This window comes from Homo sapiens, chromosome 6 (assembly GCF_000001405.40).
Source record: "Homo sapiens chromosome 6, GRCh38.p14 Primary Assembly".
Taxonomy (NCBI): domain Eukaryota; kingdom Metazoa; phylum Chordata; class Mammalia; order Primates; family Hominidae; genus Homo; species Homo sapiens.
Window position 1 is genome coordinate 55,758,489 of NC_000006.12, and position 18,974 is coordinate 55,777,462.

Genomic DNA, 18,974 nt, shown 5'->3' on the forward strand with positions numbered 1-18,974 from the left:
ATAATTTCTACTTTAAAGATTACAGGAGGAGGAGGAGAACAATAAGAAATAGAAATTAGCTTCCTATTTGTATACTACATTGAAGAACTTTTATAATACCAAAGTATGTTATAGAACATTCTTAAATAATTAAAAACCCTCAGATGAAATTTAGTACAGCTATTACTCAATGTTTTTGCAATGATTACTAATGAATTGCTAGGTTAGAAACAGCCCCAGGGAACCTGTGTGCTTAGTCATACTGTGTAATGAACAAACAGTTCAAGATGACCATTTCATGTTATTACTCCAGTTTTCCTAGCTGAATCCTTCTCCATTGTGTAACTGGGATTACTCTAAACCAGCCCGAGTTTCCTGACTATACCCACAGTTGTTACTTCAGCTCTAAAAAGAAACAAATGAGTTTGAGAAGATAAAATAATGCATTAAAATTGTAAATAGATGCTTTCCTCTAAAACAACTTTATAATATGCTTGCATTCTAAGCTTTTCTTAATCCTTCAAAAACAAAGCTTACCAGAGTCTGAACTATAGCGTGGTTGGTGGCATTCATATGGGCGTTAAGTGGAAAAGAACATTCTCCATCACAATAAAATGCAGCGTATCCTTCTGGTGCTATAATCCAGTCCTGACACATACACACACACACACACACACAAAAAAAAAAAAAAAAAAAAAAAAAAAAAAAAAAAAAAACAACAAGAAAAAATATCACCAAAGTAAAAATTTTTAAAAAATCTTAAAAGTTATTGAAATATATTGTATCTGAATAGGTTTCTATTCTTGGTCCAACAATTATTCTAATGGAATTATCTTCCCCACACCCTTTAATTTTAAGCTGAAGTTTAGGACAAAAGTATAAATATTTTCACAAGAAATTGTCCTCTCTAATTACTCCCAAGGGGTAGTTATGTAAGATATTCATAGTATGTATTAAACATGTATTCACGAATAAAACTATTATAAGAAAATAGCATTCTAAATATTGTTTAAACAGGAAATGATGAACTCTGGAAAGTTCAAGTGAACCCGAAAGAAAAAGGAGAATCAAGTTAATTGAGATCATTCTCATTACTTCTTAAGAACTCATTCTTAGTTTTATAAGTCTGACAACATCCTAAAGCCTTAATATTTTTTCTGCATGCTGTTTTTCTTTCCATTCATGCATTAACTTTATGGTCTCTTTAGAAAAAATAAATTGGAGCAAATTCCTAAAAACTGAACATGATAAATTTCGGGAAGCTAAAGAATTGGTACATGAATGGTTGCCTTGATATTTTTCCCACAGAGAAATAAAACTTGGCACAAATGTAGGAATTATTGAGTTATTCATGTGGAAAGTTTATCATGAATTTTGAATATATTTACATTTTAATAGTATTTCTCAATACAGGAACTCATATATGAGAATCCATTCTAATAGAATATTAGGAGAAGTCTTAAAATTTCATTTTAAACTGTCACCACATAGAGCCATTAAAAAATTACTTTGGTGAAATTTTCCTCCTCATCCTGTTTCTAAAGGCTACCCAAAAGATAGCAATACATTTTTAAGTGCAAGAAAAAAAAATGTCTGTCATCTTCCCCATGACAGGGACATTCCAATAGTTGGAGACCCTCAGAGGCTTAGTGGAGTTACTTATACTAATATGAACAAATCTTCTATTTACAATAAAATTAAAAGTTTGGAATACTTAAACAACGGCACTCTTTTTTTTCTTCCTAAATATCTTAGTGTTCTATGTCTCATTCAGCGTAGTTTTTTTGTTTGACTGTGATACCTACTAATCATGTTTCAATGGTAAAAGGTTAATTGAGAAATGAAAATAAAGTGAATAAGCCATATTCTAAATGGTCATGTCAAAAATCATTGGGTATTATATTGGAAAATTACTGCCAAAGACTATGACTTATTAAGGATTTATGATAATTCAGAAAAGAAGCACCAAAGTTGACTGAAAATTCCTACCTGCCATCCCAGATCCCGGAAGCTCACATAGAGTTCGTGCTTCTTACAGGCTTGTTTTTGCTCACTTGTGTTATAATCTGAAGATAAAAACCACATTTTGAATAAATGGTTGCTTACAGATATACTAATACTTCTTTTGTGAGATCACTGGTAAGATTTTTTAAAGGGGTTTTATTTGAAGTTGTGGAAAAATGAGTTTCAATCTTAAAGTTAGAACTACTTACTAACCATGTGAACTTCAGTCAAGTTACTTGTCCTGAGTTTCTTCTTCTGTGAGATGTAGACAATACCATTTACCTGATGAAGCTCTAACATGGATTCTGTTAAGCCATCTACTTGACAGGGCACAGCATGGTGTCTGTCGTTCATTGAGTACCATCTGCTCAATGAATACTTATTCATTAATTCATTCATACTCTAGGGGTACTTAATATATTGAGAGAGATTATATATATATAATATTTGTGCAATAACTTGTAACATCTTCCATGAGGCAGATACTGGGATCTTACTTAGCTGATTTTATTTTAATAAATATCTTAACCTCAGGATACCACAAGTTGAGCTTCTAATCATCCCCCAAAATCCTGTCCACCTGTAGACTTCATTCTTGACTAATGGTAGTTGCCTGGGTTAAAAAATAAAAACCAAAACAAAACAACAAGAATCAAAATAGTTCTTTTTTTTTCTTTCATTTACACATCCAATCTGTCAGGAAATCTCACACACTATCTTCAATAAGTCCAAAATGCACCTGCTCTCACGCCCTTCATAATTGGTCTTGGTCCAAGACACCATCATCTCTGGCATGAATTACTGCAATATCCTCATTGCTAGTCTCCCTGCTTCTGCCCTTGCTCCTCTATAGCAAACTAGTCAAGTGGACCTTTTAACAAGTAAACTTAATTACATCACTTCCCTGCCAGTCCCTCTATGGTCTTCATATCATTAAGAGTGAAATATTCTCAGAGTGGTTACAAGGCTCTTTACATTTTGGTCTTATTACCCCTCTGACTCATTTGATCCTATTACCCCTCTGACTCTCACTTCTTCTCCTTCACCTTGCTCCAGCCACCATACCTCCTTGCTGTTTCACTCACAGTCAACCTTGCTCCCACTTTAGAGCCTTTTCTCTCACTAGTCCCTCTCCCTGGATAGCTACATGGCTAATTCCTGCATCTTCATGTCCTTGCTTAAGCAACATCTCAACAAGACCTTCACTACCCTTTTAATATTGCAACTCTCACCCTGATACACCTGATTTCTCTCACTCTGTTCTGATTTTTTTCCATCTCAATTATCACTTTTAGAAATGCTATGTCATTTCCTCATTTATTTATGTGTGGCTTCTTGTCTGTTTCCTCCCACTAAAATATAAGCGTCATAGGGGCAAGAATCTCGTTTGGCTCTGTTTTGCTCACTGATGTATCCCTAGTGCCAGGAACAGTGCCTGGCATAAAATAAACATTCAAAAAAGTATCTGAGGAGTTAATGGACAAATTTCTCATAGTGTTCCATAAGTGATTTGAGGCAAGTGAAATACTATCATTACATATTTTGGAATGTAATCTGAAATACCCATAACTTTTTATAATTGTTTTAAATTATTAAATATAAATGTAGAATTTCAATCTTGCATCTGGAATAAAGTAAAATACTGAAGAAACACAGAGATTTATGGAACATTTTTCATTCTTGTCTTGTGTTGGGTTTGCTCACATTTTGTACAAATAACATTCGAAAAACTAGTCCACTTTGATTATTTCTAAAATAAAATATTAAAGAAATAAAATTAAAAAATAATTTGTTTTACAGTTTTTGTTAAAGTGTCACCTTCCTGTTTAATTACTCTCAACCTCTAATGAAAGTGTAGGCAAGTTAGAGATCAAAGGAGCCCATCATAGAGGGCCTTGCTTCTCATGGTTACTTCAAGTAATTATTTGTTTAATGTTAATCTAAAAAACAAGCTAATGATTAAATTTTGAAATCAAGGTATTTTTCTTCTAGGTTATTTATTCCTACTATGCAATTAACTTCATTAAAACAGATTAAATAAGTAGATAATGGGAAATGGGGGAGAGAGGATTTATTTCAGACTCTACATTCTGGTTCTTCTTCAGGGAAATATCTCCCTTGCAGCTAACTTTGTTCAGGCAATGGATAAATAACACTTTAACACTAAACATGAAATGGTTAAATTTCCTCGATCGTGTTTAGAAAAAGAAATAATTGATTCTACTATTGGTTTGATTTCATAAACTCCTTGATATACAAAACGGGGAAAAACAAATGTTAGCTATGCATTGGACCAGGGGTCAGCAAACTTTTTAAAAGTTTTTTAAACTTCTTTAAACTTTTTTTTAAAGAAACTGATAGTAAATATGTTGGGCTAAGTGGTCTCCTTGCAACTACTCGATTTTGCTGCTGTAGTATAAAAGCAACCGTAGACAATACGTAAATGAATGGGTGTGGCTATATTCCAGTAAAACTACCTATGGATACTAAAATTTGAATTTCATATGATTCCCACATGCTGCAAAATATTGTCCTTCTTTTCCACGCAAACATTTTCAAATGTAAAGACCACTCTTAGTAGGTCATACAAAAACAAATGATAGGCTTAATTTGGTTATTAGGCCTTACTTTTTCAAACTCTGCATTAGGTAATAATGGGAATATTTATCTATTCATCTTTGTCTTAATTAAAAATATTAAATATGAATAACAACATTGTAGCCAATAGCACATACATGTTTATATGAAAAGCCATAAACTACAAATATGATTATTTGAATTCTATGTATATAAAAAATAAAGAAAATAAAACTTTAAAGTCAAAATATATCTGTTCCATATATATGTCTTTTTATGCAGGCTAAGTGATGTATATAATGTAACATCACATAAATGTAACAAGCAATGAAATGTATAACAGAATCTGGTTCCAAGAGTCTGATTTCATAGAGCATTAGGACCATATGCTTATTCTGTCAGAAATAAAAATTAATGGATAGTGAGTGAAGTAAATGTTGTACCCAAACTAGAAAAGCCTGCAGTTAGGTTTACTCTAAATGCTTGGCAGAATAAGCCGTAGGAGGAAGGGCAAGGAAGTTAGATTTATGTCTTTTAAAATACTGATGGGCAGCCTTTAGGAGATTAGTATGAAATGGATATAATTCTACTGTTAATGAGCCTGCCTACAAATGAAGAGTCATGGCAAAAATTATTAAAATGTTCTACAATCAACACTAGAAAAAGTAAACCAACATGTCTTATCCATAGTGCAAGTGTTATCAATAATATTTCTCTGTTTTGTCTCTTAATAGTAATAATATTAGGAAGCCCATGCCAAAATAGTAAACATATTGCTAAATACTTTATGCAAATTTCTTTATGGTCAATTTCTAGATATTGTATAAATTTAATCTTTAGTTCGATTTTCTTTAGTTTGATTCTTTTTGTCTTAGAATAAAATCATGAAAAACAAAATAAATACGTGGAGGTAAAAGTTGGTAAAACACAAAAATTCCTGAATATGATAAGAAGAACACTAGTACACTGTTGGTGGAAATGTAAATTAATACAACCTCTTTTTTGAGGTTCCTCCCAAAAGTAAAAGTAGAGCTACCATATCATCAAGCAATCTCACCACTGGGTATATATCCAAAACAAAGGAAATCAATAAGTTGAAGATACATCTGCACTCCCATATTGATTGCAGCACTATTCACAAGATACAGAAGCAACATAAGTGTCCATCAGTGTATGAATGGATAAAGAAAATGTGGTACATATACACAACAGCTTATTATTCAGCCATAAAAAGAATGAAATTGGCCTGGCGTGGTGTCTCACACCTGTAATCCCAGCACTTTGGGAGGCCAAGGAGGGCGGATCACGAGGTCAGAAGATCGACACCATTCTGGCTAACACGGTGAAACCCCGTCTCTACTAAAAATACGAAAAATTAGCCAGGCGTAGTGGCGGACGCCTGTAGTCCCAGCTACTCAGGAGGCTGAGGCAGGAGAACGGCGTGAACCCGGGAGGCGGAGCTTGCAGTGAGCGAGATGGTGCCACTTCACTTCAGCCTGGGCGACAGAGCAAGACTCTGTCTCAAAAAAAAAAAAAAAAGAAAAAAAGAAAGAAAGAAAAGAAAAAAAAGTCAATTAGAGCAAGATGGATGAAACAACTGGAAGATGTCAAGTGAGATAAGCCAGGCACAGAGAGACAAATAACCCCTGTTCTTAGTCATATGTGTAAGCTAAAAAAAAAAAAAAAGATCTCCTGAAGATAGGTAGAGAGTAGAATGGTGGTTACCAAAAGCTGGGAATGGTAGCAGAAAGAGGGGATGAAGAACAATTGGTTAATGAACACAAAACTACAGCTTTTTAAAAAACTTACAGAAGAAATCAGTTGTAGTGTTCGATAATAGCACAGTATGGTTACAATGGTTAGCGATAATTAATTCTACATTTCAAAATAACTAGAAGACAAGATTAGGAATGTTCCCAATGTAAAGAAATGATAAATATTTGATGTGATGGATATCTTAATTACCCTGATTTGATCATTACACATTGTATACATCTATCAAAATATCACATGTACCCCATGAATATGTATAATTATTATGTATCAATAAAAACAAATTCCAGAAATCTGCATGGACTGTCAAAGTTCTGCATACTAGCTCCTGAAAAAAACAAATAAATAAACATGGGATAGACTTGCTGTGAACTGGACAAAGACAATCCAGGCCAAAAACCTTCATATACCATTTTTTTTCTTCAGAACATAGTATTAGTTTATTAAAGGGATGAAACACAGATATAGCTATAAAAGCAAAGAAAAATCAGAAATAAAACTTAACATTTAACCATGACAACAGCTTCAATGAGCTAAATATGATGATATGCTGCTGTTTCAAAGCAAAAGAGGAGATGTTAGTGTTTTCACTCTTATTTCCCAAAGAGAAAGAGGGAAAAAGGAAGTTGATACCTAAAGCATCAGAAGACCTTAATTTATTTATAAAAATTTAAAATGATAAATGAATGAAGGTACAAGAGTTGAAAAAGCAGGAATGGTGCTACCATAATGTGGATTTTGATATGACCTTGGGGGTAGAAAAATTCAGGATAAGCCCAAAAATAAATAACAATCCTACCCAAAGATAAGGGGCTTTAAAATGCTATTGTTGTTCTAGCTTAATCATTATTTTCTATACCCAGTGAATTATTCACTTGCATTTACACACAAGCCAGTAATACGTACTGTTGTTTATTTTGTAGATATATTAACACAATTTTGTGTTTGTGTAGGTACCAATGTGTGACGCAAGACACCACAAAATAACTCTGTAATGTGTTTGCATAACTCTGCTCAGCAAAGTATCCATGTGGATCATGTAATTAACATCGTCACTTTAGAGCTCCTTGATATAAAAATCTATCCACAAACCTGAATTTGCTAGACACCTCTAAAGGACAGTTCCCTGACGCCTCCTGCTCACTATTTCTACTTCTGACCTCACACTCAATGTTCACTATTTTTGTTAATAGGACCATCAGTCGTCCAGGCCAGAAAATTTAATAAGCTTCTTGATTTTCATTTTTCCCCTCTGATCCTATATTAAATGGATCCACAAAGCCTCATTAGTTGATCAATTTCACTATTTAATCTAGGTATCCTGTTGGAAGCCCTTTGCACTCTTAGTTGCCTCATACTTCCTCAATGTCCTCTTCTGCTAACCTTTTCTAAAATAACACTTTATCCCTGCTCCTCTTTGACATCTCTGATTTTTTTTGGCTTATTTTATGGAATTTCTTTTTCTCCTCTGCCTGTACTTACAGTGTTGATGTTCCCCAAGGAGGCTCCATCTTATATTTTTTCTTTCTTTGTTTCCTGTGGCATTTGGTCAGCCTCATCCTACATCTAACAATTTGGCTTATAGCTATATCTTTTCCCTACACATTCCACTTACTCTCAACACTCCCCTCTCCAGAGTCCTGGGTTATCCACCCTCTTCAAACCCCTGCTGGCCTTATCCAGTGTGTTTTGGTTCTTACATCTCTCTCTCCAATCTATGATCTTCATTGCTTGGAGTATTATACTAGACCCTAATCATTATTTGAGTTTTCTGTCTCCACCCTTGGCATTCCATTCTGCACTCCATGGCCAAAATTAACTTTTTAAAATGCATATCTGGTTATGATTCTTCTTTTTCCAATTGCCTATGGGAAGACATCACTGCTCCTTATCATCACATACCCTACTCTTTATGATTTGGCCCCTTAATAATTTCCTAGCTGATACCACATTCCTCTCACATAAAAATACATGCATACCCCAGCCATTTGACAATGGTCCATGGCTCTACAACTGTAGAGCCATTTCATTTCTACAACCTGAAATGGTTTCATCCATGTCTGTTAATTCTAGAAAATGTCTATTTATTCTCAGATAAGTCCCTCATGTAGTATTTTGGGCCATATAGTTAATATAGTGCATGGCATATAGTTATATAGCATATAATGCTGTGCCTGGCATATAATGGGAGTTTATTTGATATTGAATAAATATTATTTATAAGAAATTATACCCAGATATATTCTTCCTGTGGATTTTTCCTAGAGAGAAATTTAACAACAGACACAATGCCTTAATGTCTATTGGCAAGTCTTTTTTAAAGTGTGTAGTTAATTGCTAATATAGATTAGCCAAATTAGGTTAAAGACTAAAATTTCTCTTGCTTCTAAAGTCTCAAAAGATAAGAAATCCTGTGACCACAGGTATGAGTACTTATAAGAGAGAGTGTGAACTTCTGGTTTTCTCTGATGTAAGAGTTTGAACTCCTTTTGTACCAGTTCTATAAAACCAATTATAATGTTCAACACTTAATGAGCATTTGCCGTGTACCACTATTTTAAATTAGTTATATATAATAACTCATTTAATCCTCAGAACTCTTGTAATCCTGCTCTGCAAGGCAGGTATAATTAACATTCCCACTTTATACATGAGGAAACAGTCAGAGAGAGGTAATATATCTTGTGCAAGATTATACAACTAGTAAGTAGTGAAGTCAGTATTAGATATTAAGTGATGGATAGATGATAGATAAATATATAGATAGAGAGAGCTAGCTAACGACATACTATATGCATCAACATACTTGTTTCAGGAGGGGTTTCCAGAATTTTTCATGATTCAGGGCACAGATAGCAACTTTTAATATTAGTTACTGTCATAATTACGTGGATTAGAAATATTCTCACTTGTGCAGCATTGCAGGATTTTCAGTACAGCATTTATTTTGAGAGTGCCAACTTGGAAAAAAAGCAAAATGTCTTTTTGGAGTGACATGATTAAATAAACTGATGCCAATACTAAGCTGCAACAGTTGAAAAGAATTAGCTCACGTTATTTGACATATGGCTAAACATTGTTTATAAAACCTGTAAAATATATAATTCATGTAATTAAAAGCATATAACAAAAATACATTCTCTCAAAAGAGATGAGAGAGAGGTTTGTACCATGTTGATATCAGCATATTAAGGTAATCTATTATGTATGGATTAGGTAAACAAGGGAGAACTTTAGCTTTATTTATGATTTTATTATTTCTAAACACTAAAACAGTGTATTAATTATATAATATAAAACATTCGATGGAAATAACTTCAATTAATTATTTTCTTGTTTTGACTAATATCTGTTTTTCCAAGAGGCATAAATTTACATTGTATTTATTAGGCAAGAGATAGCGCCTATCAAATTTGAGAACAAGAATAGAATGTTTCAATTTTAGTAACTATGCATTTTATCTGATTTACAATGCTTTGACTTAAGATTTTTTAAATTGATGATGGTTTGAAAGCAATACACATTCAGTAGAAATCATACTATGAGTACCCACACAAGCATTCTGTTTTTCACTTTCAGTAGAGTGTCCAATAAATTACATAAGATATTCAAAACTTAATTATGAAATAGGCCTTGTTTTAGATGAGTTTGCCCAGCTGTAGGCTAATGTAAATGTTATGGGCATGTGTAAGGGAGGCTAGGCTAAGCTATGATATTTGAGCTTATGGTACTGCAAACTTTATTTGGGTTTATTGGGATATAACCCCATTTTAAGTTGAAGAGCACCTGTATACCAAAGACTTGCCCTACGAAATCACCATGGATGTAGGCAGGGCCACTACATGATTGGATTATTTTTCGAAGATTCTCAGTATCCAGCATACAATAGCAATCTTTCTTAGCAGTTCTGTAATGATCCAGGACTTGCCATTTGCCCTGTTAATTCTTTTGGATTCTTCATACAGGCATATGTCAGAGACATTTACTGGGGAGATATTGTGAATTTAGTTCCAGACCACTGCAATGAAGTGAACGTCACAATAAAGTGAGTGTCACAATATTTTTTGGTTTCCCAGTGCATGTAAAAGTTATGGTTACATTATACTACAGTCAATTAAGTGTGTAATTGGATTATATCTTTAAAAATGTACATACCTTAGTTAAAAATAATCTATTGATTAAAAAATGCTAGTGATCATCTGAGTCTTCAGCAAGTTGTAATCCTTTTGCTAGTAAAGGGTCTTGCCTCAATGTTGATACCTGCTGACTGATCAGGTTGGTGATTGCTGAAGGTTGATGTGGCTGTGGCAATTTCTTAAAAGACAACGATAAAATTTGTCACATTGATTGACTCTTCCTTTCACAAAAGATTCTTTGTGTAGTGTGCAAGGCTGTTTGATAGCACTTTACTTTGTGAAGGTCTTCTTTTAAAATTGGAGTCCATCTTCTCAAATCCTGCCTCTACTCTAGTAAATAAACTTATTTAAAATGCTAAATCCTTTGTTGTCATTACAATTGCATTCACAGTATCTTCACCAGGAAGATTTTATATCCAGAAACCACTTTTTTTGCTCAACCATAAGAAGCAACTCCTCATTCATTCAAGTTTTATTATGAGATTGCAGCAATCCAGTCATATATTCAGGTTCCGCTTGTAATTCAAGTTCTCTTGCTATTTCTACCACAACTGCAATGATTTCCTCCACTGAAGTCTTGAACCCATCAAAGTCATCCAGGAGGTAGGAATCAACTTCTTCCAAACCCTTGTTAATGTTGATATTTCAACCCCTCATAAATCATGAGTGTTCTTAAATGGAATCTAGAATGGTGAATCCTTTCCAGAAGGTTGCCTAGATCCTTCAGGGGAATCACTATTTATGGAAGCTGTAGAATTACAAAATAAATCTTTAAAATAATAAAACTTGGAAGTCAAAACTACTCTTTCATGCATGGGCAGCAGAATGGATGTTGTGCTAGCAAGCATGATAAAAACAATTAGTCTACTCGTATATCTCCATCAGAGCTCTTGGGTGATCAAGTACATTGTCAATGGGCACTAATATTTTGAAAGGAATCTTTTTTCTGGACAATAGGTCTCAACAGTTTGCCTAAAATAGTTAATAAACCATGCTATCAACAGATGCACTGTTCATCCAGGTTTTGTTCTTCCATTTGCAGAGCCCAGGAAGAGTAGATTAATCATGATACTTAGGGGTCCAAGGATTTTCAGAATGGTAAATGAGCATTGTCTTCAATTTAATCTCACCAGGTATATTAGCCCATAACAAGAGAGTCAGATTGTCAGAAGATTTGAAGCCAGCCATTGACTCTTCTCTAGCTATGAAAGTCCTACATAACATCTTCCAATAAGGCTTCTTAATCTCCATTAAAAATCTGTGGTTCAGTGTAGCTACCTTCATCAGTGATCTTAGATAGATCTCCTGGATAACTTGCTATAGCTTCTTCATCAATACTTGCTGTTTCACCTTGCACTTTTTTGCTATGGAGACAGCTTCTTTCCTTAAACGTCATGAACCAATATCTGCTACTTTCAGACTTTTCTTCTGCAGCTTCCTCAGCTCTCTCAGCCTTCATAGAATTGAGGAGAATCAGGGCTTTGCTCTGAATAAGGCTTTGGTATAAAGGAATGTTGTGGCTGGTTTGATCTTCCATCCAGACCACTCAAACGTTCTCCACATCAGCAAGAAAACGATTTCGCTTTCTTATCATTATTGTGTTGATGAAGTCATACTTATAATTTTCTTCAAGTACTTTTCCTTTGCAGTCACAACTTGACAACTGTTTGTTTGGCACAAGAGGCCTAGCTTTCAATCTATCTGGACTTTCAACATACCTTCCTCAATAAGCGTAATCATTACTAGCTTTTGATTTAAAGTGAGAGATGTTTAAATCTTCCTTTCATTTGAACACTTTTAGGCCATTGTCGGGTACTAACTGAACTTATTTCAATATTGTGTCTCAGGGAATAGGGAACCCAAGAGAAGGGAAAGAGATGGGGTAATGACCGATCGTTGGAGCAATCAGAACACACACAACATTTACTTCCCATCTTATATGGGTAAAATTTGTGGTGTCACAAAACAATTACCAATAAATATCAAAGATCACTGATAACATAAACCATAACAAATATAATAATAACAGTAAAATTTTGAAATATTGCAAAAATTACCAAAATGTGACACAGAGAAACCAAGTAAACAAATGCTGTTGGAAAAAATGTCACCAATAGACTTGCTTAATGCAGGACTGCCACAAAACTTCAGTTTGTAAAAAACACATTATCTTTGAAACACAATAAAGCAAAATGCAATAAAACATGGTATGCCTGTACTCTATTCTTTTCAACACTGAATATACTCCTTCAAGCAGCATCATGTTCTGGAGGTTTTTAAAAAAATCTTATCCACCTAGTGCCTTTATATCTTCAAGGATAGCTAGCTTAGAATTTAGCTATTGGCTCCATTTTCTTTCCTCTCATACACAAATTCAAAGAAATACCCTTTGCACTGCCTCAACATGAAACAGGAAATATCTTCCACAATGTGTCTGTTCAACCATCTTGCCAAAAACCTGAAGAGGAACAAGCAGTGCCGGGCAGTTTCTGCAGGAAACCTGGAAGTAATGGTTCTATATACCTTTACTTGAAAAACGAAGTTAGTTTTTCCTATGCTGTCAGCACGTTAATTTACTCAACAAGTATTTTGGGGACTCCTATTCTGTGCTGGTTTCTGTTCTAAGCTCTCCCACAGGAATATGGAAGAAAAAAAGAACATCAGGAAGTCAGAAGGAAGAATCGTTGAAGTAGAAAAGAAATGTGATAAAGATAGCAGAAATGACTTGGGTTTTAATTCTTCTGTACTAATGGAGATTTTCAACATTTGATAATATGCTTTGCAAAAAACCCAGCAATCAGGCAAACAGGCAATACAACTTTCCTCCCTAACTCCATCCCCATCCCACCCCTTCTTATCCATAGAGCCTTTGCACAATATCTTATTGTAAAATCTAGTTACTATTACAACTTTGTTATTTATATTTGGATAATTTTTAAATTTCACTGGCATTTCAAGTCTCTGAAGTATCAAATTTTCTGTTTATATTAGCATTCCCTTTCCTTAAAGCCTTGTCTTTTAGACCAAATCCTATGAGGATTTTCCCAGACTGCTTGATTACTACCTATTGAAAGGTTAAGTCTTATAGACACAAACCAGCTACTTTCTTTCTTCTTCTTATCAAAATATGAACACACTCCAAAACCATCTACCACATATTTCACAGAAATGGTTGCCAATGACAAAATTTCAAAAAGAAAATATTGGTCTATATTAGAATAATTTTGTACTCTAAATGGTGTTAGGAAACTGGTGAAAAGTTACGTGATTTCTGCTCCATGTGTTTTATTCATCTCTGCTTATAGACGTACATTTGTTTCTTGTGGTTAGGAAGAGAAGATAAATAGAGTTAACCAATAGGGAAAAGGACTTTGATGATTTCAGTCACCGGAACACCTCTGCCAGAGTCATTATGAGCTCAAATAATAAGTATGTGACTTATACTTTTCCCTTTGTAATTTCCTCCAAAATTATTTACTATTCTATTCAAGGTTTAGCAAAACTTTTTCTTAATACAGTCTGCTACATTAAATTAAAAACATTTCAACCAAACTTAGAACCATTCTACATGAAAAGAAAAATATACAAGTTTGACAGCCTAGTATTTACCAGGAAGAAAAGGTCTTAGAAAGTTATTTTTCTCCATCTTTCATATTAAGTAATTACAGCTTTTTGCCAAACTAAATATCTTGTGAATATCTTTAAAAAATAGCGTTGTAATAAGGCACTAGTGTCATGCTTTACTAAAAGTGGTTAAATTTCTTTGTTGGAAAATTATTTTAAAACATCACCTTATAAGCAGCATTTAATTCAGTATAATGCAATTCCATACAGAAATCTTCCCTCCTGCTTCTGTTGCTTGCCACACAAATAGGACTTCTAACGTGATTCTCCTGGTGCCTACCCTTTAGGAAAAGTCCAATGAATTCCACCTAGTAGTTTTATGGAGCGTCTCTGAGCAAATAAAAACAAACAAATAAAGGTCGTCATCTATTTCTTATCTAAACACTCATGCATGTTTGAGTAATAAATAGCTGCTGTATGACCTGTCATTTTCAAGTAACCTGAGAAAAATGAAGATTTTAGGAATAATGACAAAGACTGTTTGAAGTTAGAATTTCAATTTGGTAAAATAATATATATAGGAATCATGTATCTTTTGCTTATTAGTTCATCCATCATGCCTGGCAGAGTGCTATGCATAAATTGGCCATTATCACAGAAGAATGCATATTTGACAAATAGATAAGTATGTGATACTACATTGAGATGTTCCAGGATGAGTTCCCCCTTCAAATTTATTTTTATACATGAAATCAATTTTTGAACTAAAATAGCCACCATTTTCATCTAACAGCTTACTGTTTGCATCCTGGACTAAACAAGGTACTTCTTGGTATAAATAATACGATTAAGCCACTACAAATTTTGGCAGTTAGATGCTTTCTGATCAATTGAAATTTGATCCCTCTATAATTAACAGATTAATTTGCAAAGACTGACATGAATTGTGCATTCGTAATATTTTGTTGAAAGACTGTGTGTGTGTGTGTGTGTGTGTGTGTGTGTGTAGACACACCTGAAGAAAATTAGATAATAGTCCTCCAAATAATGAAAAGGTAAATATTTTAATCATTGTCTTCTTATGTCTTTCTCCTGCTAATCTCAGAAAAATAAAACTGAGTAGCATAATTCACATGTATTGACTTAAGTACGAAAGAAAGGATTTTACATTTAATTTACCTGGTTGACCATCCATTTTTGAAAGGCCCTGAGGAAGTTAGCTCAGCAAGTCATGTAGCTCAGTTCTGGCTAGATTGTGTTGATTAGCCATTTCATAATTTTATTACTGTCATCTTGACTTTAATTTGAACTGAATCTTTCAACATATGAAGGCAACTCATATGTATTTTAAAATGAATTACTGAGTGATTCACTGATGAAACATTCTGGGATGCTAGAAACATCACTGGAAGATTTAATGTACCATCCGAAGGTATACATAGAGGGTAAATTTATTGTGGCTACTTGATTTGCAGCATACGACCCCATAACTCTCTGTGCATAACTGCTGCTCGGGTTTATTCTTACCTCCAACACTGGACATTCTGGAGGAGTCCTGATGAGAGCTGGATTTATTGCGGTTTTGATTTTTTCGTTTGTTGGCTGCTCTCACGGATCGAAGAAGTACCTCACTCGCCTTGAAGAAGGCCACCATGAATGGTTGTTTTGACTGAGGTCCCTGTCTTCCCACAAGACCAGCAGATTTTACGTTGATACTGCGTCCTAGAACGTAATACAAAAGCACTTGGTTTATGAAAAAGAAAGAACAATTACCTGATGTGAATGAATTCTGAGGGTACTTTGAAAAGGGGAAAAGTTTTAAAACATTATCAGAATGCCTTCCTTACAGGCCAAGATTCTTATAAATATTGAGGCTTACTATTACAGACAATTATCCATCTATGGTGTTACATCTTGCATCATTCTTCCACCACAGAATACCCTCCAGCTGCTTTCACTCACTGAGAGCTTCTCAGACCTTGAAGTCAAGAATACTATAAATTGGAAGATTTGACTACTCATTCGCCTGGAAATGTCCACATTAAATAACAATTTAAAAAAATATTAGCTATGGGCTCTTCGGCACTAAATGCCCTGTAATTTTCCTTTAAGTTATAAAAGCCGAATACTTGGCAGGGTGTTTCTACTTTCTCCAGCCTATTCGAAGCCTTTCAAGTGTTAATTAGTGGTGATAGCCTTTCCACCTTCACTTCTGGCCAGTGCCCAGCAACCTTTACTAAGCTGCACTACACTTAAAGTTCTTCACAAGTCATTCTGGAAGCCTAGTCTGGGGATGGAGGTCTGCTTTAAGCCGCAGTTATTAAAAGTAGTGGCAAAAACTGCAATTACCTTTGCACCAACCTGATAATTATCAATATGAAGTATTGTGAAATAAACATAGAAATTTTGGAATTCCTCCCCTTCTGAGTTTTGACACACCTAAATGTTTACTGAAAGGAATTCAGAAGAGGCAAACCAAGCCTGGAGACTCTCAGAAAGAAGAATAAACAATCCAAGTGAGCTTCAAGACTCAAATTTGCCTATAAACTAGCCTGTGTCTCAGACCCTTATGTGTTCTTTGATGTGGTTATATATCAGTGAAAAGGGACACAACAAGTACCAATATAGGAGTGAGTTAAAAGTCAAGGTGCCCTAGAGATAAAGTTGATAAAGTACCTCTCCCATGTGGGTAGTAATAATAATACTTAAAACTATGTCAAATCACTTTGGAGTGGTTGCTGTGCTAGGCATCTTTCTAAGTAGTTTCCATGCATTATTTAATTGGATTCCACAAATGCCCTACAGTTAGGTATTAATAGTATCCTCTTTTAGTAGTTTTTATTAGGCTCTTCTAATTTAAAATAATCACTGAAAATTATATTTTATATATATGTGAAAAAGAAAACCATTGATATCTGGTTCAATGAAAATCATTCAAAGATGATATTTAACCTTAAATTGTAAATTTGGTTAAGAATTATGTATATCTTATGCAAAGTTGCTACTCTAGATACAGAAGTTAGCAATCTTTTAAGAGTAACATATAATGTGGTTTGAAATATGTGCATGATTGACTCTGGCTTGCCCCATGAGAGATGTGCATGTTTTCTTAAAATATTTATTCAGTAAAGACTGTGGAGCAACCTCAGTCCATTATAAAACCTGACCCACCTTAGAAGAAAGGAAAGGAAAGCAAGTCCCCAAAATGGCATCAATGGCATTTTAGCAAATAAACCCTTGCTCTTAACAAAATTTATTTTGGCAGCATAAAAACTTTTGTGTATACTTCCATTGTGCAGAGAACAAGACCGTCAGAAAATGAGACCGTGTCGTATAAGGTTGTGCAGCTGTTGAGAGGGACGGACACAGGGGTTCTTCAAATGTGGAGGTATTGGTTGAAAAAAAAAAAAAGGCTGCATCAATTTAGACAGCATAGGTATCCTCCACAGTTGTCTTACAACCTACTGGGAAAAGTTGTCCAATTCCTACAAGTATTAAAATGGCCATCTGCCTCACAAATGCCACTATACTGAGTTCTACAAGAGAAGGGACTTACAAATAATCAAAGCAGTAAACCTTAAACAAATAAGCATATAGATTTCTCTTTTAAATGCAAACTTACAGTGGCTCTATGCCAGAGTCTATATTTTTTAGAAAAACTCTATCACTGGCATAAATGAAAGAGGCAGTTTGATTTGTGGTCCGAGCAGTTTCCATTCTACTTCCACTGTAACAAATGTATTAATTCAGCTCAGACTTCCTCCTTCTGGCAGCCCTTTCACTGTAAAAAGAGAAATTAGAAGTTCCAGCCAAATACCATACCTTGAACTGACCCACTTCAATACATAAACACTTTTACAACATGTTTATTCAGGTGTAGCACTTGAAATTGGTTTAAGATGTTTCCAGTGACAGAGAGCTTAGCAAAAGAAAAAAAAAAGAACTGAGAAACTTAACTGTTATAGAATAGAATAACTAGCAATCTGTTCTTTAAATTTTTTCATTTTTTTTTTCTGTCTTGGAGTACAACATAAAAAAGTATTTGACGAAGCTTTTATTTTGATATTTTAATGAAGTGTTAATTTAACAGGAGCTAAATTTTAACTTGTATACATTGATGACTGCAGAAATCATTTTTAATGTATGATCTTTCTAATACTGAAATAGGTTGCTGAGAGATGTTCATAAATGGAATACAATAAAATCAATTTTCCATTCATTACAACACACACTGACTCTTTTATAGTTAAATAAGCACTTAACAAGAAGTTCCAAGTTTCCTTTGGGTTGCCAGGGGGTTTCTTTTGTTATTATTCCAAAGACTTTCAATATTTTAATTTTTATCTGTGGAGAAATAATACGGATCTGAAGATTTATGTTCTAAAAACTGAAAAGATGTGTGTATGTTACAAATACGGGTTTCTTGGGTTTTACAAAGGTGGATATTGTATTTGAAGCAAAGTACCCTCCAAACCAATGTGAACTCCCTTTAAAATAACTTTTAATATTATTAAGTTTCCTCTTGGTTTCCTTTTTACTTCAGCAATGGAGTGACTATTAAGATTCCACAAGTTAATGCTTGCTCAGTTACCCTTGGTCTTGAGCTACACCATAGATGCATTAACTATTTGACCTAGTATTTCAGAAACAATACACTTATATTGATTATGTTGACTAAACCTTTTCAAAGACTGAATAGTTATTTTAGTAGAAGTACTGAGAGAAACCCAGACTACACCGTATGTATTAAAAAAAAAGTAAATTCTTTATAAAACTTTATTTGAACTTTTTAAATGATATTATTAAACATACAGTATGTTTTAGATATTGCAAATATATAACTGAAGAAGCCTACCTAAAGCATTTTGATTTAGAAACACATTACCTTTACATGTGTGTATCAACATGGATTTAATTTTCAAAGCTGATTCTTGTTTTAGA

The 18,974-nt window shown here is 34.0% G+C and overlaps 1 protein-coding gene across 4 annotated transcripts in view, besides 1 other annotated feature; it reads right to left on the reverse strand.

Moving 5' to 3' along the window:
* Nucleotides 1–18,974, reverse strand: part of BMP5 (bone morphogenetic protein 5) — a 121,938-nt gene that overhangs the window by 4,836 nt on the left and 98,128 nt on the right. The window contains exons 4-6 of one of the 4 annotated variants that reach the window (NM_021073.4): nt 15,561–15,755; nt 1,969–2,045; nt 517–627 (exon numbers count right to left, since the gene is read on the reverse strand). In NM_021073.4, the coding sequence (NP_066551.1) occupies nt 517–627; nt 1,969–2,045; nt 15,561–15,755 (383 nt within the window). Of the gene's footprint in view, nt 1–516; nt 628–1,968; nt 2,046–7,861; nt 14,424–15,560; nt 15,756–18,974 lie in introns of those variants that run through there. The other 3 variants (NM_001329754.2, XM_011514817.4, NM_001329756.2) reach the window with 3 other exon arrangements.
* Nucleotides 15,977–16,520: an enhancer, noted in NCBI's record as "NANOG hESC enhancer chr6:55639263-55639806 (GRCh37/hg19 assembly coordinates)". NCBI's record gives its function as "activates a minimal SCP1, AML or CMV promoter by ChIP-STARR-seq in naive H9 embryonic stem cells {active_cell/tissue: H9 hESC(naive)}" and the evidence as "EXISTENCE:reporter gene assay evidence [ECO:0000049][PMID:30033119]".